Raw genomic sequence first — 27,289 nt, forward strand, 5'->3', positions numbered from 1 at the left:
CGAAAGAAATATGCAAATTAGCTGGGTAGTGGCCACTGATCACTTAAAAATGATTAAAATGGCAAATTTTATGTATATTTTTACAATTTAAAAACATTTAAAGTTTAAATTTAGATAAAAGTTTAAGTTTAGATAAATTTAAAACATTTTAAAGTTTGTGTGGTAGGCTGGGTGTGGTGGCTCATGCCTGTAATCCCAGCACTTTGGGAGGCTGAGGTGGGTGGATTGCTTGAGCTCAGGAGTTTGAGACCAGCCTGGGCAGCATGGTGAAATCCTGTGTCTACAAAGAATACAAACAGCCGGGTGTGGTGGTACACGCCTGCAGTCAAGCTACTAGGGAGGCTGAAGTGGGAGAATCGTGAGCCTGGGAGGTTGAGGCTACAGTAGGCTGTGATCATGCCACTGCACTCCAGCTTGGGCGACAGAACAAGACCCTGTCTCTGAATAAAGGAAAAAGATGTGATTGGAAAAAGAAATGAGCTACAGGAGCCTAAACCAAGCAAGGCTAAGATGGCAAAACCCAACACCTCTGAGGCTGATGCAAAGACAAGCTCAAACGAGGTCAAGGTATAAAGCAGCAGCAAAGTCTTCTCTAGGGCCAAGGTCTCCCCCAACATTTCAGAGATGGGGACCCCTTGTCGGAACTGATACCCCAGCTAAATTCCAGCTTGACTTCTGGAAGGGCTGGAGACTAAGGTCAGTCAGGGTGATCAGCCCTGTCAACATAACCAACCCCATAACCCTGGGTACCACGGCGTGGGTGAGCTTCTCTGGCAACACTTTGTGTGCGGTCACACATCATTGCTGAGTGCGTTAAATGCTTTCCATATGACTTTACTGGCAGAGGACACCTGGAAGCTCACGCTTGGTCTCTCCTAGACTCCATCCTATGCACCTTTTCCCATTGCTGGTTTTAATCTCTATTCTTTAGCTGTAGTAAATGCAATCAAGTATAACAGCTTTGCTGAGTTTTGTGAGCCCTTCTAATGAATTACTGAACTTAAGGGTCCACTGCCCTCTCTGAGCCTCAGTTTCTTCAGTGGACTCAAGAATGATACTCAGTGTAAGGATTCTCAAAACGAGCATCAGCAGGTTCCGCCCACGCCGGCCTCCTGGGTTCAGTTCTCTAATAACCACCTCCCTTCCCCGCCTACTCCAGCCAATCCTTGTGCTGACTCGGCTCCTGGCCACGCCCTAACCCCACCCCCGCTGCCTCTAAACCCGTCCCCACCCCTGCAGCCTCACAGGCTGCCGTCAGATTCTCAAGCCCCTATTCCTCTCGGTGGCCTAAATCCCCAACTGCTCGGGGCCACTTTTCAGGCCAAAATGGGCCCAAAATGGGGAGGGCAAGTGATGAATGTCACTAGACAGTGGGGCCCTCAAGGACCTGGCAAATGGGGGCTTGGACCTCGGATCGGCCTCCCACGCGAAGCTTGCTCCCCACCAGCATCCCCACGTTGGTGGCGACGCTGCCCCGGCCCCACGGATACTTCCGCGCCTGTCAGACTCCCTGATGAACTACCCTTCCCAGAGTACCGCGGGAGCTCGGGCTCCTGAGGGCGACGGTCCTCTGATGGCAGATGCGGGAGAAACTCTGGCGTCAGGCGGCCCTCGCGTGGAGCACACGAAGTCGTGGCTTATTCTGGCTTCAGTATGTGGGGTGGAGAAGGCGATCCACGCAGCTGCGTCTATTTCCTGTGGATCAATCGCAAAATACGTTCTGTAAGCCCCGCCCCCACTGCGTGCGGGCGGCTTTTGTCTCCACGGCAACCGTCAACTCTGGAAACGCCTGTCTTTCTCCATGGCAACTGTCTACGCCGCAGGCTGGAGCTGCCCATTACCGGAGCCCGTAAGCAGTATGGGTGCTGGACAAACAGCGTGATCGGGTCGTAAAACTTGGTGGAAAACGAATATTAGAGCACAAGGAAGGAAAAACCGGGCTGGGTGGGACTGAAATAGTTGATGTGAGGGAAGATTTCTCAAAGGGAGACTATTTTTTTATTGTTTGTTTGTTTTTTACTTTTATTTTTTCAAGACGGGGTCTCGCTCTGTTGCCCAGGCTGGAGCACAGTGGCACGATCTCGGCTCACTGCAACCTCCGCCTTCCGGGTTCAAGCGATTCTCCTGCCTCAGCCTCCCGAGTGGCTGGGATTACAGGCGCCCGCCACCATGCCTGGATAATCTTTTGTATTTTTAGTAGTGTGAAAAATGGGAAAGTTATTCTTCAAAGATTATAAAAAGTCACAATTTCTTAGTATAAGATTGCTATCCACTATTATATATTCCAAATCAGCTGTCCTAGCTTGCTCCGGCATGCCTGGACAGAACTAGACAAGCCCCAGGACATAGTGCATAGTTAAGGAAGCATCCTTAACTATCCCCTGGGCAACTTCCTTTTCTTTGTTCTGTTCCCCTTACCCAGTTAAAAAAGTTTTAAACTAATAGCCAATCGGGTAAAGTGTAAAATGTGAGGTCCTATTCCAGCCAATGGAAACTGGACACAGCAGTAGGGTAGACACATCAGGTTATAATAACTCTGTCTCCTTAGTTTGGCGGGGTCTCGTGGCTGGACAGCTATTGAGTAGCACCCTTTCTGCAGGAAGTAAAGCTCACCTTGCTGAGAGATCATTTGTTCCCGCATTAATTCTTTTTTTTTTTTTTTTTTTTTTGCGACACCAAAAACCTCGTTCCCAACAGTAGGGGTTTCACCATGCTGCCCAAGGCTGGTCGCCAACTCCTGACCTCAGGTGATCCACCTGCCTCCCCCTCAAGTGCTGGGATTATAGGCATGAGCCACTGCTCCTGTCCCATGAGGCGGCCTTTGAAAAAGGCTTTGAGGGATGAGCAGGAGGTCGCCAGGAAGAGAAGGGAAAATATACTATATCTATAGATCTGGCCAAAATTAAAAGTCTCAACGAGGGTGTGAGGAAACTGCCGTTCTCCTACCCTGCTGGTAGGGAGAGGAATGTCTTCAGCCTTTGAGGAAGTAAATCAGTCAGTCAGTTGGTGATGTTTGCTGAGAACCTTACTGTATACTGGGCAGACGCTAGGGATACAGCGGGGAAAGACAGAGGGCAGGCAGTAACCATGAGACATGATTGGAAATTATAAGTGCTGTGAAGTAGGCTGGGTGTGGTGGCTCACACCTGCAATCCCAGCACTTTGGGAGGCCAAGGCGAGTGGATCACTTAAGGCCAGGAGTTCGAGACCAGCCTGGGAAACATGGTGAAACCCCGTCTCTACTAAAAAGACAAAATTAGCCAGGCGTGGTGGCGGGCGCCTGTAATCCCAGTTACTCAGGAGGCTGAGGCAGGGGAATCACTTGAACCTGGAAGGCAGAGGTTGTAGTGAGCCGAGATCACACCACCGCACTCCAGCCTGGGCCACAGAATGAGACTCTGTCTCAAAAAAAAAAAAAAAAAAAAAGTGCTGTGAAGTAAACAGGCAGGGGCTGAGATGGGAATGAAGGAGGGACTGTGGGATCAAGAAACATAATTCTTTGAGAACATAATGTGAAATAATATAAATAATATCAACCTCAAGAGAAATGTAGAGGAATACTATGAATTGCAGCTGGAATCTGCCCTAAATGTACATTTCTTCTTCCTGGTGTTTGTGACAATTTGAGTTGGGGTTTTCTTTTAGTCACAGCTGAAGGCATCCTGATGTGCTAGCATAAACAAGATGAGTGTCTTGCTTTTGATGCTTTTAGCTACTCAAGCCAGTAAATTATCATTCTTGTTTGAACTGTGTGAGAGGTGGTCAAGTTCAACATTTGAAGGGAGAGTTGAGAGATACTGAGTGGGAGAGAGGGATAGGAAAAACATGCCTTCTTTCTGTTTAGGTTTCTAAGGTGATAGGAGATAAGCCTGGAGCTGCTCGTGGTCACCTTGCCACCATGGGGGGAGAACCTGCCAGAAAATGAAACTAACCAAAAAGGAAGCTGAGCTAAGAGGAGTGACCAGATTACTGACATGTCTCTTAAACACCTGGATCCATCTGTTCCTGAAGGCAAAACTGTTCAATTACATAGGCTAATAAATTCCCTTTCTTCCTTAAACAAACAGAATACTCTTGGCTGGAAATGAATCTCTATCTTATACCAGAAATTATTTAAAAATCCAGATGGATCAACAGCCGGGCACGGTGGCTCACGCCTGTAATCCCAGCACTTTGGGAGGTCGAGGCAGGCAGATCACGAGGTCAGGAGATTGAGACCATCCTGGCTAACACGGTGAAACCCCATCTCTACTAAAAATACAAAAAATTAGCCGGGCGTGGTGGCAGGCACCTGTAGTCCCAGCTACTTGGGGGGCTGAGGCAGGAGAATGGCGTGAACCCAGGAGGTGGAGCTTGCAGTGAGCCGAGATTGCGCCACTGCACTCCAGCCTGGGTGACAGAGCGAGACTCCGTCTCAAAAAAAAAAAAAAATCCTGATGGATCAAAGTTTTAATTGTGAAAAAAATCGTAAAAGTACTAGAATAAAATATAGCAGAACTTTTTTTTCATAATCTTCGGGGTGAAGAAGGCCTTTGTTAGCATGATAGTAGATCCAAAAACTATAAAGGAAAATACAGATAGATTAAAATACCTAAAAATTTAAAAACTCTGTATAACAAACATAAACAAAATTGAAGAGAAACTGGGAGAAAATATTAGTCACTTATATACCAAAGTGTTAATATGCGTAATATATAAGGACTTGCCGTTATAAATCAATACAAAAAGGCTTCTCAATTAAAAATGGGCAAAATACATAAATAGGCAATTCACAGAATAGAAAACATCAATAAATACATAAAAAGATAATCTCACAACCAAGAGGACATTTTTACCTATCAGATTAAAATTGCTTTAAAAAATGACTAACACCAAGTATTTGGGAAGGAAGTAAAGAACAGAGAAATAGGCACTCATATACACTTCCAGGAGTTGTGCAAATTGTTTCACCCCTTTTGGAGGACTATTTAGAAATAACTATGAAAAATTTAAATGTAGGTGTTCTGTGATCCCACAAGTATACTTGTAGGAATTCATTTTGTACATATGTCAAATAATAAATATCCAATGATGGAAAAGAAAATGAAAGCAACTTAAATATCCATTAACAGGGATTGGTTAAACAAATTAAAGAAACCCTAGCATGAAATATTACACAGCTGTGAAAAATGAAGATACCTATGCATGTATATATTTTTGTGTAATATGTACAATATGTATATATTTTGCATTATCATGGGAAAGTATCCACATTATATCAAGTGAGAAAAGTAACTTCTTAAAATTATGTTTGCATGTGGTTATGCCATATATACCATACATATGTGAATATATATACATATAAAGTCAGTTTCATAAAAACAGAAAGGGAGATTTCTTATTTATAGAAAAAGTATGAAATCTTTGGAATGAAGTTTTTTTTTTGAGATGGATTTTGCTCTCGTTGCCCAGGCTGGAGTGCAATGGCACAATCTCAGCTCACTGCAACCTCTGTCTCCCAGCTTCAAGCGATTCTCCTACCTCAGCCTCCCAAGTAGCTGAGATTACAGGTATGTGCCACCACACCCAGCTAATTTTTTATTTTTATTTTTAGTAGAGACAGAGTTTTACCATGTTAATCAGGCTGGTCTCGAACTCCTGACCTCAGGTGATCCACATGCCTCGGCCTCCCAAAGTGCTGGGATTACAGGCATGAGCCACCACACTCGGCCTGGAACAAAGATTTACAGGGCACTAAAGATTTCTTCATTTTTGTATCATCTGAGTTATTCACAATGAATATTACTTCAATCATGAAAGAAGCCACAAAAGATTAGGAGAAATACCTGGGCGATAACTTTAAAATATAATAGCACAGAAGAAGGCTAGTGAGACATAGCCCCATATATTGACAGACGTTCCAGCTGATACAGAACTTCTGGCAACCCATTGGCAACATACTCGAGGTCACAGAAATCCTCTCCCTATGACCCCATGACCTCACTGCCAGGATTTCACCTGGGAAATAGTTAGACACTCATCCCTTTCATAAAAGGGATGTTCCATACTATATATATATAAAAGTCAAAAGCGGCCAGGTGTGGTGGCTCACGCCTGTAATCCCAGCACTTTGGGAGGCTGAGGTGGGTGGATCACGAGGTCAGGAGATCGAGACTATCCTGGTTAACACAGTGAAACCCCGTCTCTACTAAAAATACAAAAATTAGCCGGGCGTGGTGGTGGGTGCCTGTTGTCCCAGCTACTCAGGAGGCTGAGGCAGGAGAATGGCGTGAACCTGGGAGGCGGAGGTTACAGTGAGCCGAGATTGCACCACTGCACTCCAGCCTGGGTGACAGTGAAACTCCTTCTCAAAAAAAAAAAAAAAAAAAAAAAAAGTCAAAAGCTAGAAACAACCAAAATGTCCAACAAGGGACTGGATAATATGCTGGCTGAATATATATAAGCTACGTGAAACTGCAAAATATCAGGTTGTTAAAGGTGACTTAATGATATGTTAAATAGCTGACACTCATTGCTATAAAAATGTAGTGCATCCATGGTCCGCATGCCCAGCCATGGCAGGTAGGTTAAGTTCAGCCCTTTGGAAAGCAATATGGCAACTTGTGTGAGTAATCAGGAAAATGGCTGGAACCTTGGTTCCCATCATTGCCACTGTGGGAATTTTACTTTGAGGAATAATCACCCCAAAGGGAGAGAGGAAGTGAGCACGGACATGTTCATTATAACATTATTTGTAATTGGGATAACTGGTGAAAAACCCATGTCAGTCAAAAGCTTAAAGAAGAATCTAAATGGAGAATGGATTTGTAAATTACACCTTCTCAGTGGCATATCATTATCCTTAATAATGATAAAAGTGTATGGGGACAATGACAATGCTCATGGCATAATGACGGCAAAAACGGTCTCTGCATTGTGATTACAATGAAATAAACTTATATTTGTTTAAAAGATTTGAAAGGAAATATAAAAAATAAAAACAATATGACTTCTAAGGATGGCCAAATTGTCAGCGATGGCTTTTATGTTTTCAACCCAAAATTTCTGACAACTAAACCTATGGATATGGGATATAGATTTAAAAAACCATAAAGAGGCCAGGTGCGGTGGCTCACGCCTGTAATCCCAACATTTTGGGAGGCCAAGGCGGGTGGATCACACAGGAGTTCAAGACCAGCCTGGCCAGGATGGTGAAACCCCATCTCTACTAAACCTACAAAAATTAGCCAGGTGTGATGGCAGGTGCCTATAATCCCAGCTACTTGGGAGGCTGAGGCAGGAGAATCACTTGAACCTGGGTGGCAGAGGTTGCAGTGAGCCGAGATCACACCACTGCACTTCAGCCTGGGCGACAGAGTGAGACTTTGTCTCAAAAAACATAAAGAAACACACCCAAGAATGACTGGTGAGTCTCTCTGAGCTGCAGAATTACAGGGAATTTGTCTTTTATTTCATACTTCTTTACACTTTCCAAATTATCCTTTATGATAAGCATATGGTATTTCACTAAATTTTTTTCTGTTATAAAAATATATGGCCGGGCACGGTGGCTCATGCCTGTAAATCCCAGCACTTTGGGAGACTGAGGTGGGTGGATCACGAGGTCAGGAGTTCGAGACCAGCTTGGCCAATATGGTGAAACCCCATCTCTACTAAAAATAGAAAAATTAGCTGGGCATGGTGGTGCACACCTGTAGTCCCATCTACTTGGGGGGCTGAGGCAGAAGAATTGCTTGAATCTGGGAGGCGGAGGTTGCAGTGAGCCGAGATCTTGCCATTGCACTCCAGCCTGGGTGACAGAGCAAGACTCTGTCTCAAAAAAAAAAAAATATATATATATAATTATTAAATGAAAAATAATACTATGTTTTAAAAATATGACTAAAAGTCTCCCCTTGGGAGGTGGGGCTTACAGTGAGCCAAGGTCACGCCACTGCACTCCAGCCTGGGCAACAGATTGAGACTCTGTCTCAAAAAAATAATAACAAAATAAAAAATCTCCCCTTGGGCGTGAATAAACAGTGATGCTTAACAACATGACGCTTAATAGAACAATCACTTTGTAGGCCGGGCACGGGAGCTCACGCCTGTAATCTCAACACTTTGGGAGGCTGACGGAGGAGGATCACATGAGGCCAGGTGTTTGAGACCAGCCTGGCCAACATGGTGTAACCCCACGTCTACTAAAAATAACAAAAATTAGCTGGGAGTGGTGGCAGGTGCCTGTAATCCCAGCTTCTTGGGAGGCTAATGTAGGAGAATCGCTTGAACCCAGGAGGTGGAGGCTGCAGTGAGCTGAGATCATGCCACTGTACTCCAGCCTGGTAACACAGCAATATTCTGTCTCAAAAAAAAAAAAAAAAAAAAAAAAAAAAATAAATAAATAAATAAAAGAACAGAACAATAGCTTTGTAAAGCATAGATCCTGGAAACATAATAAACAGAAACAATAGGACATTAAAAATGTCTATAAATATGTGAAACATTTATATTTATATCCATATTTATATGAAACATATTTATTGTTTAAGCCAACTGCAGATTCTGATATTTGTAGCTTAAAGTTTCAAAGGAAACTAAAAATGTTACTTTAAAGGGTTAATCTTTATAGCTGTCTTCCCCCATTGAATATTCAGGCTCCAGTTTAAGTTTCTTTTTTTTTTGAGACGGAGTCTCGCTCTGTTGCCCAGGCTGGAGTGCAGTGGCGCAATCTCGGTTCACTGCAAGCTCCACCTCCCGGGTTCATGCCATTCTCCTGCCTCAGCCTCCTGAGTAGCTGGGACTACAGGCGCCCACCACCACGCCTGGCTAATTTTTGTATTTTTAGTAGAGAAGGGGTTTCACCTTGTTAGCCAGGATGGTCTCGATCTCCTGACCTTGTGATCCACCCACCTCGGCCTCCCAAAGTGCTGGGATTACAGGTGTGAGCCACCGCGCCCAGCTCAGGCTCCAGTATAAGGAAGGATGAATCAGTTTAAGAAGCTTGGAGAGAGCTGTTCTTGGTGAAGGTCCCAGATGAAATGGCATCCCTTTTGGACCACTCTCTAACTATACCACGATCTAGGGACATGGCAGGGTGGAGGAAATATGCAAGGGAAGCCCCCAGAATGATCAGAACCTGTCGCAGTTAGTGAAAAACTGTGCCACCTTCCCTCTAGGGAACAAAGGAACAAACCATCTCAACATATGGCGCCAGCATCCTTCTCTGGGGAGTTCCTAGTGTTGATGAAGAGCAGATTGCTGAAAGGCCATTTATGCACCTGGATCCATCTGTTCCTGAAGGCAAAATTTTTCCTAGGGTTCCTAGTGTTGATGAAGGTGGGATGGAACCTAACAGCAGGACAGCCAGCTCATCACACACTCAGGTTGTCTAATCAGCATGGGTTCTCTGATGATCAGCAAGCTGTGTGCCCCAAGCAAAGGCTTTCTCAAAATCATCACAGATGTAGGCATTCTGGCCAGTATGAAGCCTCTGGTGTTCAGTCAGGTGTGAACTCCAGCTGAAACCCTCTCCACACTCCTCACATGTGTAGCGTTTGCTGCCAGTGTGGACCTTCTGATGTTGGAGAAGGTGTGAGATCTGGGTATAGGTTCTCCCACAGTCACTACACTTGTAAGGCTTCTCTCCAGTGTGAATCCTTTGGTGTTGGATTAAGTGGATGCTCTGGTTGAAGGCCTTCCCACATTCCTTGCAGGCGTAGGGCTTCTCGCCGGTGTGAATCTTCTGATGTTGAGTGAGGGATGAGTTGTGACTGAAGGTTTTCCCACATTCCTTACACTTATAGGGCTTCTCGCCAGTGTGGATCTTCTGGTGCTCAATGAGGTGCGTGCTCTGGCTGAAGGCTTTCCCACACTCTCTGCCCTCGTAGGGCCTCTCTCCAGTGTGAATCCTCTGGTGTTGAATGAGGTGGGAGATCTGGGTATAGGCTTTCCCACACACTTTACATTCATAGGGTTTCTCCCCTGTGTGAATCCTCTGGTGGTGTGTGAGGGAGGAGTTCTGGCTGAAGGTTTTCCCACACTCTGTACATTTGTAGGGCTTCTCACCGGTGTGGATGGTCTGGTGCTGAGTAAAGGATGAGGTGTGGCTGAAAGCCTTCCCACATTCGTTGCATACATAGGGCTTTTCCCCCACGTGAGTGCTCTGGTGCCTCATGAGGTGGGAAATCTGCGTGTAAGCCTTCCCGCACTCGTGACACGCGTAGGGCTTCTCGCCAGTGTGAATTCGCTGATGCTGGGTCAGGGACGAGCTGTGGCTGAAGGCTTTGCCACAATCAGTGCACTCATAGGGTTTTTCTCCAGTGTGGACTCGCTGGTGCTCAGTCAGGGATGAGCTGTGGCTGAACGTTTTCCCACACTTGTTACATTTGTAGGGTTTCTCCCCCGTGTGGGTGGTCTGGTGTTGGGTCAGGGAGGAGGTGTGACAGAAGGCCTTGCCGCACTCTCCACATTGGTAGGGCTTCTCCCCCGTGTGGATTTTCTGGTGGCGGGTGAGGTGGGAGACCTGCGAGTAGAACTTCCCACACTGGCCGCATTTATAGGGCTTCTCCCCGGTGTGGCACCGCTGGTGTTTGATGAGGGATGAGCTCTGTGTGAAGGCCTTCCCGCAGTCCTTGCCTTTGTAGGGCTTCTCTCCAGTGTGAATCCTCTGATGCTAGGTAAGCGAAGAGCTCTGAGTGAAGGTCTTGCCACATGCATGGCAGGCATAGGGCTTCTCGCCTGTTTGGATGATGTGGTGCTGAATGAAATATGAGCTGTTGCTGAACGCCTTCCCGCAGTCACAGCACCTGTGGGGCTTCTCCCTGGTGTGAATTCGCTGATGGAGAATATAGTCCGAATGGTAAATGAAGGCTTTCCCACATTCCGTGCAGTTAAATGGTTTCTTCTCCACGAACGTCCTTTGGCGTTTCAAGCTCTTCCAGGGCCTGCCCCACTTCCGGGGCCTGTCTCCAAAGGGCACTCGTTGCTTCCTGATGAGGGCAGAGGCCTGCCGGAGGCTTCTCCCAAGCTCGTTACACCCAAGGCCTCTCTCCCCCGAGGTGTCTCCCTTGGGAGTAGCAAATAAACACCTCAAATGCCTCTCCTGCTTTCTTGCATCCTCCGACCGATAGTGACATGCCAAGGGTTTCCCCACCTGGGCATCTCCAAGCATGGCCCTTAAAGGTCCCTCTACTGGGGAAGCTGAATCTTCAGAAATGCTCTTTTTTCGAGGTGTCTCTCGAATAGTCACAGAGCTTGTCTCCGAGTCTGAAAGAAATGGAAAATACCAATACCACCTGTCCCAGGACAAAGCAAGCTGATTACTTGGAAGTGGCAGTGTAAACCTAAAAAAAAAAAAAAAATTTCAAACTCGATGTTGCTACTTTGTTTGTTTCTTTCTTCTTTTTTCTTTTTTTTTGAGACAAAGTCTTGTTCTGTTGCCTAGGCTGGAGTGCAGTGGCACCATCTCCACCTCCCGGATTCAAGCAATTCTCCTGCCTCAGCCCCCTGAGTTGCTGGGACCACAGGCGCCCACCACCACACCTGGCTAATTTTTTTGTATTTTTAGAAGAGATGGGGTTTCACCATATTGGTCAAGCTGGTCTCAAACTCCTGACCTCGTGATCCACCCACCTCGGCCTCCCAAAGTGCTGGGATTACAGGCATGAGCCACCGTGCTTGGCCGATGTTGCTATTTTGAAAGGCATGGTGTACGTAGATAGATTCATGTTCTGACATGGAAGGATAGTCTCAATACACTCTAAAAATGAAGACAACCAAGTTCTAAACAGTTTATGTACACAGAGTTGAGTAGCTATGCTATAGAGTACATTTTTTTTACAAATCAATAAGAAAAATGATAGAAAAAAATCTAAGAAAATAGAGAGGCGAGAATATGAGTAGACAATTCACGGAAGAAAAATAAGAGGCTGATAAATACATGTATAGATGCTGAACATCAGCAATAGTTAAAAAAATCAAATCATTAGGATGCTATTTTACCCATTTTAGATTGGAAAATATTAAAGATATCCAGTGTTGCCAAGGGAGCATGGCACAGACCTTCTCACACTATGTTTGTGGGAATGTGCAAGGAAAGAGTGAACAGAAGGTCCATCTCAGTTTTTTTTGTTTGTTTGTTTTTTGTTTTTGAGATAGAGTCTCGCTGTGTTGCCCAGGCTGGAGTGCAATGGCACGATCTCAGCTCACTGCAACCTCCATCTCCTGGGTTCAAGCCATTCTCCTGCCTCAGCCTCCCAGGTAGCTGGGAGTACAGGCATGCGCCACCACACCTGGCTAATTTTTTTTTTTTTTTGTATTTTTAGTAGAGCTGGGGTTTCACCATGCTGGCCAGGCTGGTCTCGAACTCCTGACCTCAAGTCATCCGCCTGCCTTGGCCTCCCAAAGTGCTGGGATTATAGACTTGAGCCACTGCGCCCAGCCCATCTCACTCAGTCTTTGTTTATCTCTGCAGATATGGCAATGACCCTTGGCCAGTCTCTGGGAACTAAACTCCTGGGATGTTTACACAGGTGCTGGGTAAGATGTTCTTCCATATGCTCAAGACCACGGGTCAAGATGTACTAGGCTGTCAGCATTGTTGACTGTAAATATGAAGATGCATGATGGGCACCTGGTACCTGGATTGGAGTTCTCACTCTGTTCATGTAGCAGGTATGTGCATACGTGACCAGCTCTCTTCAAGAACTCTGGACTATAAGACTCCAAGTGGGCTTCCTGGGGTGGAGACACCTCATACATGTGTCTGTGGTTTTGCATTAGTGGAAAAATGCACGTCCATGTGACCCACACAGGGAAAGGGAGGGCTGGAAACCTGTGTATGACCTCTCTTGCCTTTGTTAGTTCCTACTGTTCCTGAGTTACAAACTTTGCTGTAAACCGTCAATACAACTCGCCAAGTCATGTGACTCCTTCCGGAAAATCGCCAAACCAGTGGGTGGTTGTGGGACCCCCAAAACAGAGACATGACAACTAAATGCTATGTGAGATTCCTGAAATTATCCTTTTGTCATTGGATTAGGCAATGGTATCTTAGACATGATGTCAAAAATCACAAAGCAACACAAGCAAAATAGATACATTGGACACTGTCAAAATTAAAACCTAGGCCAGGCACATTGGCTCACACCTGTAATCCCAGCACTTTGGGAGGCCAAGGTGGGTGGATCACTTGAGCTCAGGAGTTCATGAACAGCCTGGGTAACATGGCTGAACCCTGTCTCTACCAAACATACAAGAATTAGGTAGCGATGGTACACGCCTGTGGTCCCAGCTACTTGGAAGGCTGAGGTGGGAGGATCAACAAAGCCCCGGAAGTTGAGGCTGCAGTGAGCCATGATTGCGCCACTGCACTCCAGCCTGGGTGAGACCCTGTCTCAAAAATAATAATAATTAAAAATTTAAACCTTTGTGCTTCAAAGACACTAGTAAGAAGCAAAAAGACAACTAATAGAATGGGAGAAAATTTTTTCCAATCATATGTCTGATAAAGAACTTGTTTCTAGAATACATAAAGCATACTTACAACTCAGTATTTTGGTTTTTGAGACGGAGTCTCGCTCTGTCACCCAGGCTGGAGTGCAGTGGCACGATCCCGGGTCACTGCAACCTCCGCCTCCCAGGTTCAAGTGATTCTCCTGCCTCAACCTCCCAAGTAGCTGGGACTGCAGGCACGCACCACCAGGCCCAGCTAATTTTTCTATATTTAGTAGAGACAGGGTTTCACCGTGTTGGCCAGGATGGTCTCGATCTCTTGACCTCATGATCCACCCACCTCAGTCTCCCAAAGTGCTGGGATTACAGGTGTGAGCTACCACACCTGGCCACAACTCAATATTTTTAAAAACTCAATTAAAAAAGGGCAAAGTTCTCAATAGTCATTTCTTTAAAGATATACAAATGGCCAATAAGTACATGAAAAGATACTCAACATCATTAGACATCAAGGAAAATGAAATGAAAATCATGAGATTCCACTTCACACTCACTAGTTATATAATAAAAAAGACAGATAGTAACAAGCGTTGGTGAGGATGCGGAGAAATCAGAGCCCTCACACACTGCTGGTGGGAATGTAACATGGTACAGCCACTTTGGAAAATAGTCTGGCAGTTTCTCAAAAGGTTAAACATAGAATTACCCTATGATTCAACAATTCCATTCCTAGGTATCTACCCGAAATAAATGAAAACATACATTCACACAAAAACTTGTGCATGAATGTTCATAGCAGTATGATTCATAATAGCCAAAAAGAAGACATAACTCAATGTTCACCAACTGATGAATAAACCAACTGTGGTACATTCATACAACAAAATAGTATTCAGCCATAAACAGGAATGAAGCTCTCATACATACTGCAATGTGAATGACTCTTAAAAATATTATGCTAGGCTGGGCGTGGTGGCTCACGCCTGTAATCCCAGCACTTTGGGAGGCTGGGCGGGGGTGGGGGGGTGGATCACGAGGTCTGGAGTTCGAGACCAGCCTGGCCACCATGGTGAAATTCTGCCTCTACTAAAAATACAAAAATTAGCCAGGTGTGGTGGCAGGTGCCCATACCCAGCTACTTGGGAGGCTGAGGCAGGAGAATCACTTGAACCCGAGAGGCGGAGCCTGCAGTGAGCCAAGATCGTGCCACTGCACTCCAGCTTGGGTGACAGAGCGAGACTCCGTCTCAAAAAATAAATAAAAAAATAAAAAATAAATAAAAATAAATGAATAAAAAGAAATGATGAGCAGAAAGCAAAACCATCTGGAATTTGTGGAGGGAATGGATTTTTTTTTGGAGCTAGTGGGTTTGTTCATGGAATGTCCATTAATTACATATGTGCCAACCACGGTGCTGTGAGTAGGTGACCTTTTGCTAAACAAGATATCTGGTTCTTGTCCTCAGAGAGGGGGGAGAGGCAGGCTTATATTCAGACATTTTGGACATATCCTACTTATCTCTTTAGCATCCCTGTCTTTGAACAACCACTGCTCCCCTTTTCCTATAGTCTTGGTGGGGCTGTCACATATCTCCCCAACCCCCACCTCAGCAATGGGCATCAGACTTCCGACTGGCCAATCATAATACCCCGTTCCTCGGGCCATAATAATTGGTTCATCATCCAAAGGGACCCAGTCAGAGTCTTCCCCGAGATGAGTATATGGGGTTATTAGGCAGAATATAAGTTTGAGACTGTGGGTAGCCACGTTGATTGCTACTTGGAAAGGTCTGTAGACAAAACGAAGCTAGAAACAGACAGAATCAACACATGTGGAAAGCGAAGGAGGGGGAAGGTGGGGGTTGTGGGGAGAGAGAGAGAGAGAGAGAACAAGTAAGCCCTGACAATACCATTTAAGGCCTTAGATTCATGTATGCCGAAAGTCTTGCACTGCAATACTTCCTAGTTATATGGGTCAAAAAAAATCTAATTTTTCTTAAGCTATTTTGATTCTTTACATGTGGGAGTCCTGATATATCAGATAATAACAATTATTATTATTGCAATAGAGAACATTCATTAAATGCTGACTACCTGCCAGATACTGTTCTGAGCTTGTTCCGTGTATTAAGTAATTTCATCATCCAAACATTTCATTGAGGTGGGTACTATTATTCTCCCTATTTAATAGGTAAGGACGGCCGGGCGCAGTGGCTCACGCCTGTAATCCCAGCACTTTGGGAGGCTGGGGCGGGTGGATCATGAGGTCAGGAGTTCGAGACCAGCCTGGCCAACATGATGAAACCCTGTCTCTACTAAAAATACAAAAAATTAGCCAGGCACGGTGGGGGGCACCTATAATCCCAGCTACTCTGGAGGCTGAGACAGGAGAATCACTTGAACTCGAGAGGCGGAGGTTGCAGTGAGTCCAGGTTCACCACTGTACTCTAGCCTGGGCGACAGAGCAAGACTCCATCTCAAAAAAAAAAAAAAGGTAAGGAAATGGAGGCACCAATAGATTAAGTCACTTGCCCACAATCACGCAGTGGGAGAAAGGGGATTTGAACTCAGAGTCTACACTCTTAAGTACAACATGCACAAGTGCAGTAATAGCACCTTGAGCTAGGAGCTGTGAAAACGCTGAGAAGCGGTGGCCTAGTTATCACGGAAGGCCACTTGGAGGAGGTGACCTGTAAGCTTCATCGTGAAACACATGAAGGTGCTTGCCAGGCAGAAAAAGCAGGGAAGGGTATTCCAGACAGAGGGAACAGCATGTGTGAAGGCCCAAAGGTGGCAACACACATTCAGGTTGAGGTACGGACAGGTGCTTCAGTGAGGTCAGGGCATGGTGTACAATCAGGGGTGGATGGTGAAGATGAGGCCAGAGAAAGCACAGGCTGAGTGACACAGGGCACCGAGTGCCAGGCTGAGGGGCTGGGACTTCATCTTGGGGGTACTGGGGAAGCAGGGGAGGGTGTGAGCAGGGGAGGGAGGGGGTTAGCTCTCAGTATGGAAGGATCCCCTGGGGCGGTGTCAACTGGAGGGGTAAGTCTGGGGGCCAGGAGGCTGGGGTGAGGGTCCAGGGGAGAGAAGCTGAGGCCTGGCCAGGGGCAGGAGGGACAAGGCTGGGGACTGATGGGCTGTGACGGGACAAGGGGAGGGTCGGGTGAGAATTATAACGATGACAGCCATTGAAGCCACTACCGACTCTGTGCCAAGCTCTGGGCTCTGCTCTGTATCTGTTAATTCATTTATTCCTCCCAATCCTAGACACTCATGTCACCTCCTTTTCACAGATGAAAAAAATCAAAGCACAGAGAGGCTAAGTGACTTGCCCAAGGCCACACAGCCAGGAAGCAATCAGCTGGGATTTGAACCCACACAACCCGACTCCCGAGCCCACGATGATCACCCGTGTGTTCCACTGCCTCACCCCTGAGTGAACCTCACTGACCATGAGAGATGGGGTAGGAAGAGGGCTCACACCTGCTGGATATCCTCACCCACCTGGGCAGGTAACTCGCCGGGCCTCTCTCTCCTGCCTCAGCTCTTCCCCTCGATCCACACGGGAGATCACGTCGGATTTGGACCCAGGCAGCCCTGCCCCTGGGGAAAGATACAAGAGTTGGCTGTGGGTGCCAGAATCACAGGGAGGTCTACAGGGAAGGTGCACGCACTGAGCGCCTAATGATTGGACGTACAAATGGCCAACGCCAAGACTTATTTGTTGTGTGCTTAGCACACTGCAGAGAGGCTGAGCCAACTTATTTGTTGAGTGCTTAGGACACTGCAGAGAGGCTGAGCTCTGACAAAGCTGTTTAAGGCTCCGCGTCTGTGCTGTTCGAGTTAACTGCACTGTGACAGTATAAGAAACATCGTCTTCTGTGTTTCGAAGACTTACTAAAGAAAAAAACAGTAAAATCTCTCAATCATTTGTTAATTGATTATTATTTCAGTGTGTCAAGATGATAAGATTTTAGATAGCTTGAGGTGAATAAAATGTATTATTAAAATTAATTTCATTTGTTTCTTCTTATTTTTTTTAACGTGACCGCCAAAAAATGTAAAATTACCTAAGTGGGTTGCATCTTATTTCTGATGGACAACTCTGTTTAGATTCATTGATGTCCAAAGCTTCCATCTCAAGACTTCTAAATACATAAGTTAAAACATTCACTTTTTTTTTTTGAGACAGGTTCTTGCTCTGTTGCCCAGGCCGAAGTGCAGTGGCACAATCATGGCTCACTGCAGCCTCGACCTCCTGGGCTCAAGTGATCCTCCCACCTCAGCCTCCTGAATAGCTGGGACTACAGGCATGCACCACCATACCTGGCTAATTTTCAAATTTTTTATAGAGATGGGGTCTCACTATGTTGCCCAGGCTGATCTCAAATTCCTGGGCTTAAGTGATCCACCCACCCTGAACATTTCCTTTTTTCTTTTTTAGATGGAGTTTCACTCTTGTTGCCCAGGCTGGAGTGCAATGGTGTGGTCTCGGCTCACTGCAACCTCCGTCTCCTGGGTTGAAGCAATTCTCCTGCCTCAGCCTCCCAAGTAGCTGGGATTACAGGTGCCTGCCACCATGCTTGGCTAATTTTTTGTATTTTTAGTAGAAACGGGTTTCACCATGTTGGCCAGGCTGGTCTCGAACTCCTGACCTCAGGTGATCTGCCCGCCTTGGCCTCCCAAAGTGCTGGGATTGCAGGCATGAGCCACTGCACCCAGTCCAGACATTTTCGTTTTGATGAAACTGTCTTGAATCACTGTAGACAAACATACCATCCCTGATTAAAACATGAAGTAATTACAATAGTTAGGGTGATACTAAAAAGTGAATGTCTATTAAGCGCAGATTACATGCCAGGCATGTTTCTAAGCTGGTTAAATGTAGTACCTCATTTTCACCCTTCAGGCAGGAAACCGAGGCACAGTCTAGTGTTGTGTGAGCAGGAATGGAAGAAACACGCAACACTGCAGGAAGTCACAGAGGGTGCAGAAATCAAAGGAAACTTCCTGGAGGAGGTGAGCCAAGAGGTGACTAGACTAGGGGTGAGGAGGAGATGAATTTTGGTTCAACAAACATGCCTGGCCAGGCACGGTGGCTCATGCCTGTAATCCCAGCACTTTAGGAGGCCAAGGCGGGTGGATCACGAGGCCAGGAGTTCAAGACCAGCCTGGCCAAAATGGTGAAACCCTGTCTCTACTAAAAATACAAAAATTACCCGGGCGTGGTGGTGGGCACCTGTAATCCCAGCTACTCAGGAAGCTGAGGCAGAGAATTGCTTGAACCTGGGAGGTGGAGGTTGCAATGAGCCGAGATCGCGCCACTGCACTCTGGCCTGGGTGACAGAGCAAGACTCTGTCTAAAAAACAAACAAACAAACAAACAAACAAAAAAACATGCCCAAAGGCCTCCCGGTCTCCCTGTGCCACTCCCTGGCACTGCTGGAGATACAGAAATGATCTGGACACTCCCCTGTGCTTGAGGGCGTCTCAGGCTGAAGGGGGAGGCAGACCTGGACACAGTTACAATCCAGGGTGACTCCGGGACTCCTTTCCTACAAGGATCCTGTCCTCCCTCTGTCTTAGGTGCCCAGGCCTATGGTCACAGCCTTCATCTCTGATAATGACACAAATCTCCACATCTTGGTGTCAGACACCCCCTCCCACCTCCCAGCCTCCCGGGGACTTTCTCCACTATACTTTATCTTATTATTTTAATTTTATTTTTTGAGACAGGATCTTGCTCTGTTGCCCAGGCTGGAGTGAAGTTGCACAATCACAACCCACTGCAGACTTGATCTCCCTGGGCTCAAGCCATCTTCCCACCTCAGCCTCCCGAGTGGCTGGGACTACAGGTGCATGCCACCACATCCCGCTAATTTTTACGTTTTTTGTAGAGACAAGGTCTTGCTATGTTGCCCAGGCTGGTCTCGAACTCCTGACCTCAAGCAATCCTCCCACCTCAGCCTCCCCATGTGCTGGGATTACAGGCATGAACCACCGTGCCTGACCTTTCTCCAGTTCTTGACTCCAGCTATCCTTCCATGGACAAGGAGGGTGCCCTAGAGCCTGGCTTGGTGGCTGGGTGAACCATGAGGTCTGCCTCTAACTGCCACAGTCAGGGGACAGAGGAGCAGGGACCCAGGACAGCTAATCTTCTGATACTGCAGCCCCCTCACCATGTATTGCCTCCCATGATTTCACCTTCCACTCTCCAGCCTGGCATTTACCACCCATCCCTGTAACCACTCCCCTGCCTGCACCCCTACCTGCCCTGTCCCTCTTGGCCTGCACTGAGCTCACCAGGTAACAGCCCTGCTGTGGTTAGAGCCAAACAGCCTCTGACCTGGGTGCTGGTGCCCAAGAAGGCATTGCCACTAAGGTCTTTTTTTTTTTTTTTTTTGGAGACAGTCTCTCTCTGTTCCCATGCTGGAGTGCAGTGGCACGATCTCAGCTCACTGCAACCTCCGCCTCCCTAGACAAGATCGTGCCACTGCACTCCAGCCTGGGCAACAGAGCAAGACTCTATCTCCAAAAAAAAAAAGAAGAAGAAGAAGAGGATACACAGACACGGAGGGAAGAGGCCACATGGCACAGACGCAGAGAAAGAAGGGAGGCGGGTACCAGCCAAGAAATGCCAGGAGGCACCAGGTGTTGGAAGAGGTGAGGAAGGACCCTCCCCTGGAGCCTTTGGAGGCAGCGTGGCCGAGCTGTCACCTTGGTTTTAGACTCTGGTCCAGAATCATGAGAGAACTGATGGCTGTTGTCATAAGCCACCACGTTTGTGGTTGTGCATTGTGGCAGCAGCAGGATACACTCCCCCATGCCCCTACTGCTCGTGCCCGTGAGCAGACGCATGTGCTGTCACAGATGCCATCTTAAAGACAACCTTCTGGCCAGGTGCCGTGGCTCACACCTGTAAGCCCAGCGCTTTTCAAGGCCGAAGCCAGCGGATCACTTGAGATCAGGAGTTCGAGACCAGCCTGACCAACACGGTGAAACCCTGTCTCTACTAAAAATTACAAAAATTACCCAGGCGTGGTGGCATGCGCCTGTAATCCCAGCTACTCGGGAGGCTGAGGCAGGAGAGTCACTTGAACCCGGGAAGTGGAGGCTGCAGTGAGCTGAGATCGCACCACTGCACTCCAGCCTGGGCAACAGTGAGACTGTCTCAAAAAAAAAAAAAAAAAAAAAAAGGAAAAAAAGACAAGGCCAGGCGCAGTGGCTCATGCCTGTAATCCCAGCACTTTGGGAGGCCAAGGTGGGCAGATCTCTGAGATTAGGAGTTCGAGACCAGCCTGACCAACATGGAGAAACCCTGTCTCTACTAAAAATACAAAATTAGTCGGATGTGGTGGTGCATGCCTGTAATCCCAGCTACTCGGGAGGCTGAGGCAGGAGAATCGCTTGAACCCAGGAGGCGGAGGTTGTGGTGAGCCGAGATCGCGCCATTGCATTCCAGCCTGGGCAACAAGAGCAAAACTTCATCTCAAAAAAAAAAAAAAAAAAAAAAGACAACCTTCCTGTGATCACCACAGAGTGAGGCAGTGGGGGAACAGAAAGTGGTGACACTGGGGAGAGTGTCAGGGCCAGGACACATACGGGTATGAAAGAGATGGTAAAGACAGTGCCCTGGGCTGGGTGTGGTGGCTCATACCTGGAATGCCAGCACTTTGGGAGGCTGAGGTGGGCAGATCACTTGAGGTCAGGAGTTCGAGACCTGCCTGGCCAACATGGTGAAACCCCATCTCTACTAAAAATACAAAAATTAGCTGGGTGTGGTGGTGCATGCCTGTAATCCCAGCTACTCAGAAGGCTGAGGCAGGAGAATCGCTTGAACCTGGGAGGCGGAGGTTGCAGTGAGCAGAGCTCGTGCTACTATACTCCAGCCTGGGAGACAGAGCGAGACTCCGTCTCAAAAACAAAAAAACAAAAAAAGTCAGTGCCCTGGACTGGCCTGGCCTGGTCTCTGGGTGGGCAGGGGTCTGTCTCTGAGATGGGAGACCTGAAGGAGGAATGAGTTTGGGGGTGACATGACCCGCTCAGGGGAGACAGGGAGTGTGGGGTCCTGAGCCTTCCCCATGGTGGTATTGTGGAGGCCACAAGCTATACAAGGTTGAAACTCATGGGACACATTGAAGGGACACCATTGTGGATGTGTGGAAAAGGGTGAACACAGCCGGCCTGAGATGCTCCCTTTGGAAAGTCCTGATGGCCAGGTAGACCCTAGGCTGAGGTCCAGCAACCTGGACTTTAGGAGGGTTCCCAGAATTTCCTAACTGATGTGGGGCTCACTAGAGCCTCAGTTGCTTGTGGTTTTAATTTTAATTTTAATTTTTTTTAGAGATAGGGGTCTCACTATGTTGCCCAGGCTGGACTCGTAATCCTGGGCTCAAGTGATCCTCCTCTCTTGGCCTCCGAAAGTGCTGGGATTACAGGCGTGAGCCACTGTGCCCAGCCCTAAACTGTTTGTGCAAACACCATGGTTTATGCTGAACACCTGCTTTTTTCCCAGGAGTCTAAAATTTGGGTACATTTTAGTAGAGGGGGCTGTGTGAGCAACCCCCAGGAAAAACCCTGAGCACAGCCGGGCACGATGGCTCACGCTTGTAATCCCAGCTCGTAGGGAGACAGAGGCTGGAGGATAGCTTGAGCCCAGGAGTTCAAGACTTGCCTGGGCAATATAGAGAGATCCTGTTAAAAAAAAAAAATGCTGAGCCCTGAGTCTCTGGTGAGCTTCTCTGGTGATAACATTTCCCATGTGTTGTCACCTCTTGCTGCTGGGAGAATTAAACCATCCTATGTGGCTCCACTGGGAGAAGGTTCTGGAAGCTTGGCCTGGTTTCTCCTGGATGGCGCCCCGGGTGCCCTTCCCCTTTGCCAGCTGTGCTGTCTCCTTTCTCTGTAATAAACCATCACTGAGCGTTTAACTAAGGGCTGAGTCCCTGGCACCCGCTAACAAATCAGTCACCTGTGGTGGTCTTGGGGACCGACCCTGATGGAGAAGTTTGGGCCACGTTTTTAATGAGACCACATTTTTTTTTTTTTGAGACAGAGTCACTCTGTTGCCCAGGCTGGAGTGCAATGGCGAGATCTCAGCTCACTGCAACCTCCGCCTCCCAAGTTCAAGTGATTCTCCCACCTCAGCCTCCTGAGTAGCTGGGATTACAGGTGCCCACCACCATGCCCAGCTAATGTTTGTATTTTTAGTAGAGATGGGGTTTCACTGTGTTGTCCAGGCTAGTCTCAAACTCCTGACCTCAAATGATCTGGCCGCCTCGGCCTCTCAAAGTGCTGGGATTACAGATGTGAGCTACTGCGTCCAGCCTAAGCCACATTTTTGATGAGTTTGTCCAGAGAAAGTGCGTGAGTGAGGAGGGCTGAGGATGGAGACGTCACATCACCACAGCTACTTACAGGGGAACATAAAGACGGAGAACGACAGGTCCAGGAAGGTGGGAAGTGAAACCAGCAAGGGGGCTGTGCTGAGGTGCAGGGGCAAGACGAGGCCTGGGCAGGGCTGGGGCCGTGGGGATGGTAAGGAGGGTGTAGGAGGGCAGGGCTGTGGCCTGAGGGGTCCTGTGGACAAGGGGAAGTAGGGGATGTTGTGAGCAGAATTGCTGGCATCCCCCTAAAATGCATAAGTTGAAACCTAGTCCCCAGGTGATGGTGTTAGGAGCTGAGGCCTTTTGGAAGCGATTAGGTCATGGGGGTAGAGCTCTCGTGGCAGGGGTTAGTGCCCTTACAAAAGACACCCCAGAGAGCTCTCTTGCTCCTCCACTCTGTAAGGCTATAGAGAGCAGCCTCTGTCGGCCGGATGTGGTGGCTCATGCCCGTAAATCCCAGCCCTTTGGGAGGCCAAAGTGGGTGGATCACTGAGGTCAGGAGTTCAAGACCAGCCTGGCCAACATGGTGAAACCCCCTCTCTACTAAAAATACCAAAAAAATTAGCTGGGTGTGGTGGCGGGCACCAGTAATCCCAGCTATTTGGGGAGGCTGAGGCAGGAGAATCACTTGAACCCGGGAGGTGGAAGTTGCAGTGAGCCAAGATTGCGCCACTGCACTCCAGCCTGGGTGACAGAGTAAGACTCTGACTCAATTAAAAAAAAGAAAGAAAAAAAAAAAGAGAGAAGGCGCCGTCTATGAACCAGGAAGCGCCCTCACCAGACACCAAGTCTGCTGTCGCCTTCATCTTCGACTTCCCAGCCTCCAAAACTCTGACATAAATTTCTTTCTTTCTTTCTTTCTTTTTTTTTTTTGAAACGGAGTCTCACTCTGTCACCCAGGCTGGAGTGCAGTGGCGCGATCTCGGCTCACTGCAAGCTCCGCCTCCCGGGTTCACACCATTCTTCTGCCTCAGCTCCCGAGTAGCTGGGACTACAGGCACCCACCACAATGCCCGGCTAATTTTTTTTATTTTTAGTAGAGATGGGGTTTCACCGTGTTAGCCAGGATGGTCTCGATCTCCTGACCTCGTGATCTGCCCGCCTTGGCCTCCCAAAGTGCTGGGATTACAGGCATGAGCCACCGTGCCCGGCCAACTCTGACATACATTTCTGCTGTTAGAAGCTACCCAGTTTACAGCATTTTGTTAGAGCAGCTCAAACTAAGCAAGTCAGGGCCGAGGATGGTGCCCGGGGGTCTGGTCTGGAGACCTGGGGGGATGTGGGGCCAACCAGAGGTGGGGACCTGGAGGAAGAGAAGCAGGACGGTGGGTGAACTGAGCTCGGCGTGGGGTGGATGTGAGGGGTGGGAGGTGGGGAGGGCTATGCCTGGAGGCAGGAAGGTGGGCAAGTGCAGGATCTCGGAGACACACTAGGGGACAGCGTTTATATGCTCTGGGGAGAAGATGCCGAGGTCAGATTGGGACCTGTTGATTGGGAACATGTCCGGGAGGCGCTTGGAGCCTGAGATTCTGGACTGGGCGTTCCAGTGTGGAGCCTGAAGTCCGGGGACAGGGAGGTCACCATGTGTGGAAGGGAAAGCGTTAGAAGAAGCTGGATGACCAGGCACGGTGGCTGACGCCTATAATCCCAGCACTTTGGGAGTCCAAGGTGGGCACATCACCTGAGGTCAGGAGTTCCAGACCAGCCTGGCCAACACAGTGAACCCGTCTCTACTAAAAATACAAAAATTAGCCAGCATGGTGGTGTGTGCCTGTAATTCCAGCAACTCGGGAGGCTGAGACAGAGGAATTGCTTGAACCCAGGAGGTGGAGATTGCAGTCAGCTGAGATCACGCCACTGCCCTCCAGCCTGGTGACAGAGTGAGACTCCATCTCAAAAAAAAAAAAAAAAAAAAAAAAAGAAGAAGAAGAAGAAGCTGGGGACACAGGCTGAAGAGTTTGCGGGACTCACATTTTACAGGACAGGCCAAGGGACTTGGGCCCTCCTGGCTGCTGGGACTCCAGGCAGAAAGAGAGGAAGGGAGAGGCCCCCAGAAAGAGAGGAAGGGAGAGGCCAGGCGTGAGGGACCAGTGAGAGGAGCACAGAGGCCCCCAGATGGCAGGGGATGGACATGAATGAGAAGAGGGTGCCAGGAGGCATCAGAGAGAGGGCTGGGGGCATCAGAGAGGGTGCCGGGGGCATCAGGCCTCCCCCGGGGGAGGGCAGAGGGAGGGGCCTCACCCAGGGAGAGAAGGTTCCAGTAGTTCTCCAGCATCACGTCTCCAGCAAACTTTCACCACATCACCAGATTTAGTCTGGCCCTGCTGTGGGCTTTTTTCCAGTGATCATGAGGGACCCAACAGCTGGGCACAGAACTCAGATTTGAGATTGGAAAAGACGGGGACTCTACTAAGGTGGATAGGATGGAGGCTACTCCCTCCTCCTGTCATTCACTCATTTATCCATTCATTAATTCATCCCACCAACCTTCCCAGGAGTTTCTGGTGAGCCACTGCCCATGTTGGGCAACGCTGGCGGCACAGAGTCTAGGCCGAGTCCTGACACTGCCCATGAATTTCAGCCCCTCATGCTCCCTGTGGCCCCAGAAGATCCTTCTACACCCAGAGCTTCCCCTCCCCTTCCTTGCTCACAGCCCTCCCGTGGCTCCCCAGTGGCCCCAGGACAGAGTCTCAGCCCCTCTGATACCATGCAGGACTTGCCCCACTCATCCCTACAGCCTCATCTCTCCTCGCATTTGCAGAGACTCCTCTTTTTTGTGCCTCCATTTCCCCATCTGTAGAATGGAATTGTAATACCATCTGTCCGTCACTTCAGGGCCAAGTGAGAAAGCGCATCCTAAATAATGAAACAGGATTGACGTCTTCTCCTGTTGATGATTAGCATCTGTTTCAACTCTCTGTCTCTCACTCCCGAACCTTCTGCACTTTCTCCTTTAGGAAAAGACTGTGACCAGCTTCACAAAAGGCAGCAAAGGACTATCAGAGAAAGAGAACTCCGAGTGAGGGGTAAGCAGCCTGGCCACAGGGAAGGGGCTGGGGGTGGAGATGCCTGCATCTGAGGGAGGAGGGGCTGGGGGCCTGGACTCCTGGGTCTGAGGGAGGAGGGGCTGGGCCTGGGACTCCTGGGTCTCTGGGTGGTGATGGAGCTACAGGAGGTCGTGGTGCAGTTCTCTGCCATTGCTGACCCCTCCTTTCCTGCTCCATCGTGCAGGTCTGGCCTAGGCCCGGGATCGGACCAGGCTCCCTCAGGACCCCATCCTTTCCTGCCCGGACCGTGAATTCATCTCCTTGAAGCCATAACGTCCGAGCTGCTGGTGCGGGGCAGCCCTGGCCCTAGGCTTCCTACCCCTGGAAGCGAGAGGATGAGAGGAGGCCGGCCCAGCTCCTTCTTTCAGGGTGGGGGGCATTCAGCCTCCACTGTGTCTGTCTTTTCTTCCCTGGGGCTCCCCCTCGAGGCGAGGGGCCATGCATGTCTGGGGGACCCCTGCCCCCCAAAACCCTCTGTCTGTCTCTGTCTCTTTGCTGTTTGTCCAAGACTCAGTGTCCCGACCCTTGTTCTCGCCGTGAATGTCAATGGGCCAATCCTCTCTGTCCTTTCAGACACACACACACCTGTGTCCACCCCTTCTGTTCGCCACACCCTGCGTCTGGCCGGTCCCCCCACTGCTGCTGCTATCAACGCCAGAATAAACACACTCCGTGGGTCTCACTCCAACTGGGCCTCCTGTCCTCTCTGAGACTGGGAAACCGGATTGGAACATGCTGGCTCTGCAAGCAGACAAATTTGTGTTTCTTTCAATGACTGGGCAACTTAATGATCTCTCTGAGCCTCAGTTTATAAAAATGGTGTTAGTCAGGATCATTGTGAGTACAGAACACAAAATTCAACCCAAAGCCATAAACAGAATTGAAAGACCTCTGTCCATGGAAAGCCTATGAACACATTGAACACAGAGGGACTTCAGGCATGGTTAGATCCAGCTGTTCAAGGGACTCTCACTTCTGCTTTCCTCTTTTTTTTTTTTTTTAATGGAGTTTCACTCTTGTTGCCCAGGCTGGAGTGCAGTGGTGTGATCTCAGCTCACTGCAACCTCCCGGTTTCAAGCGATTCTCCTGCCTCAGCCTCCTGAGTAGCTGGGATTACAGCCGCTCGCCACCACACCTGGCTAACTTTTTGTATTAGTAGAGACGGGGTTTCACCATGTTGGCAGGCTGGTCTCGAGCTCCTGACCTCCTGTGATCTGCCCGCCTTGGCCTCCCAAAGCGCTGGGTTTACAGGCATGAGCCACCGCGCCTAGCTATTGGCTTCTCTCTCAGGTAGGTGTTTGCAGTGGCAATGAGATGGTCACTTGGAGCTCCAGGTGTATAATGCTGTATCTGTTATGATACCTTCGGCTGAAAAAAAAAAAAAACCTTCCCAACTGAAAGAGAAAGATTTTTTTGCATG

General features: G+C 48.4%; 1 long non-coding RNA gene and 1 pseudogene across 2 annotated transcripts, besides 2 other annotated features; one reads left to right on the forward strand and one right to left on the reverse strand.

Moving 5' to 3' along the window:
- On the forward strand, positions 1,244-26,238 carry ZNF473CR (ZNF473 cis regulating lncRNA). 2 transcript variants are annotated; one of them, NR_138096.1, is made up of 5 exons: positions 1,244-1,849; positions 12,513-12,654; positions 18,346-18,455; positions 25,780-25,848; positions 26,054-26,238. It is a non-coding gene; the product is annotated as a ZNF473 cis regulating lncRNA (long non-coding RNA). The 2 variants fall into 2 exon arrangements; NR_027257.2 differs by lacking the exons at positions 18,346-18,455; positions 25,780-25,848; positions 26,054-26,238 and adding an exon at positions 16,730-17,450 and having other exon boundaries at positions 12,455-12,654.
- Positions 1,290-1,499: an enhancer, noted in NCBI's record as "active region_14974". NCBI's record gives its function as "activates an Ori minimal core promoter by ATAC-STARR-seq in GM12878 lymphoblastoid cells {active_cell/tissue: GM12878}" and the evidence as "EXISTENCE:reporter gene assay evidence [ECO:0000049][PMID:35858748]".
- Positions 1,531-2,211: an enhancer, noted in NCBI's record as "H3K27ac-H3K4me1 hESC enhancer chr19:50554133-50554813 (GRCh37/hg19 assembly coordinates)". NCBI's record gives its function as "activates a minimal SCP1, AML or CMV promoter by ChIP-STARR-seq in primed H9 embryonic stem cells {active_cell/tissue: H9 hESC(primed)}" and the evidence as "EXISTENCE:reporter gene assay evidence [ECO:0000049][PMID:30033119]".
- On the reverse strand, positions 9,595-10,111 carry LOC100287477 (zinc finger protein 420-like; annotated as a pseudogene).
- Positions 26,239-27,289: the final 1,051 nt, after the last annotated feature.

Source organism: Homo sapiens, chromosome 19 (assembly GCF_000001405.40).
Source record: "Homo sapiens chromosome 19, GRCh38.p14 Primary Assembly".
In the NCBI taxonomy this organism is placed as follows: domain Eukaryota; kingdom Metazoa; phylum Chordata; class Mammalia; order Primates; family Hominidae; genus Homo; species Homo sapiens.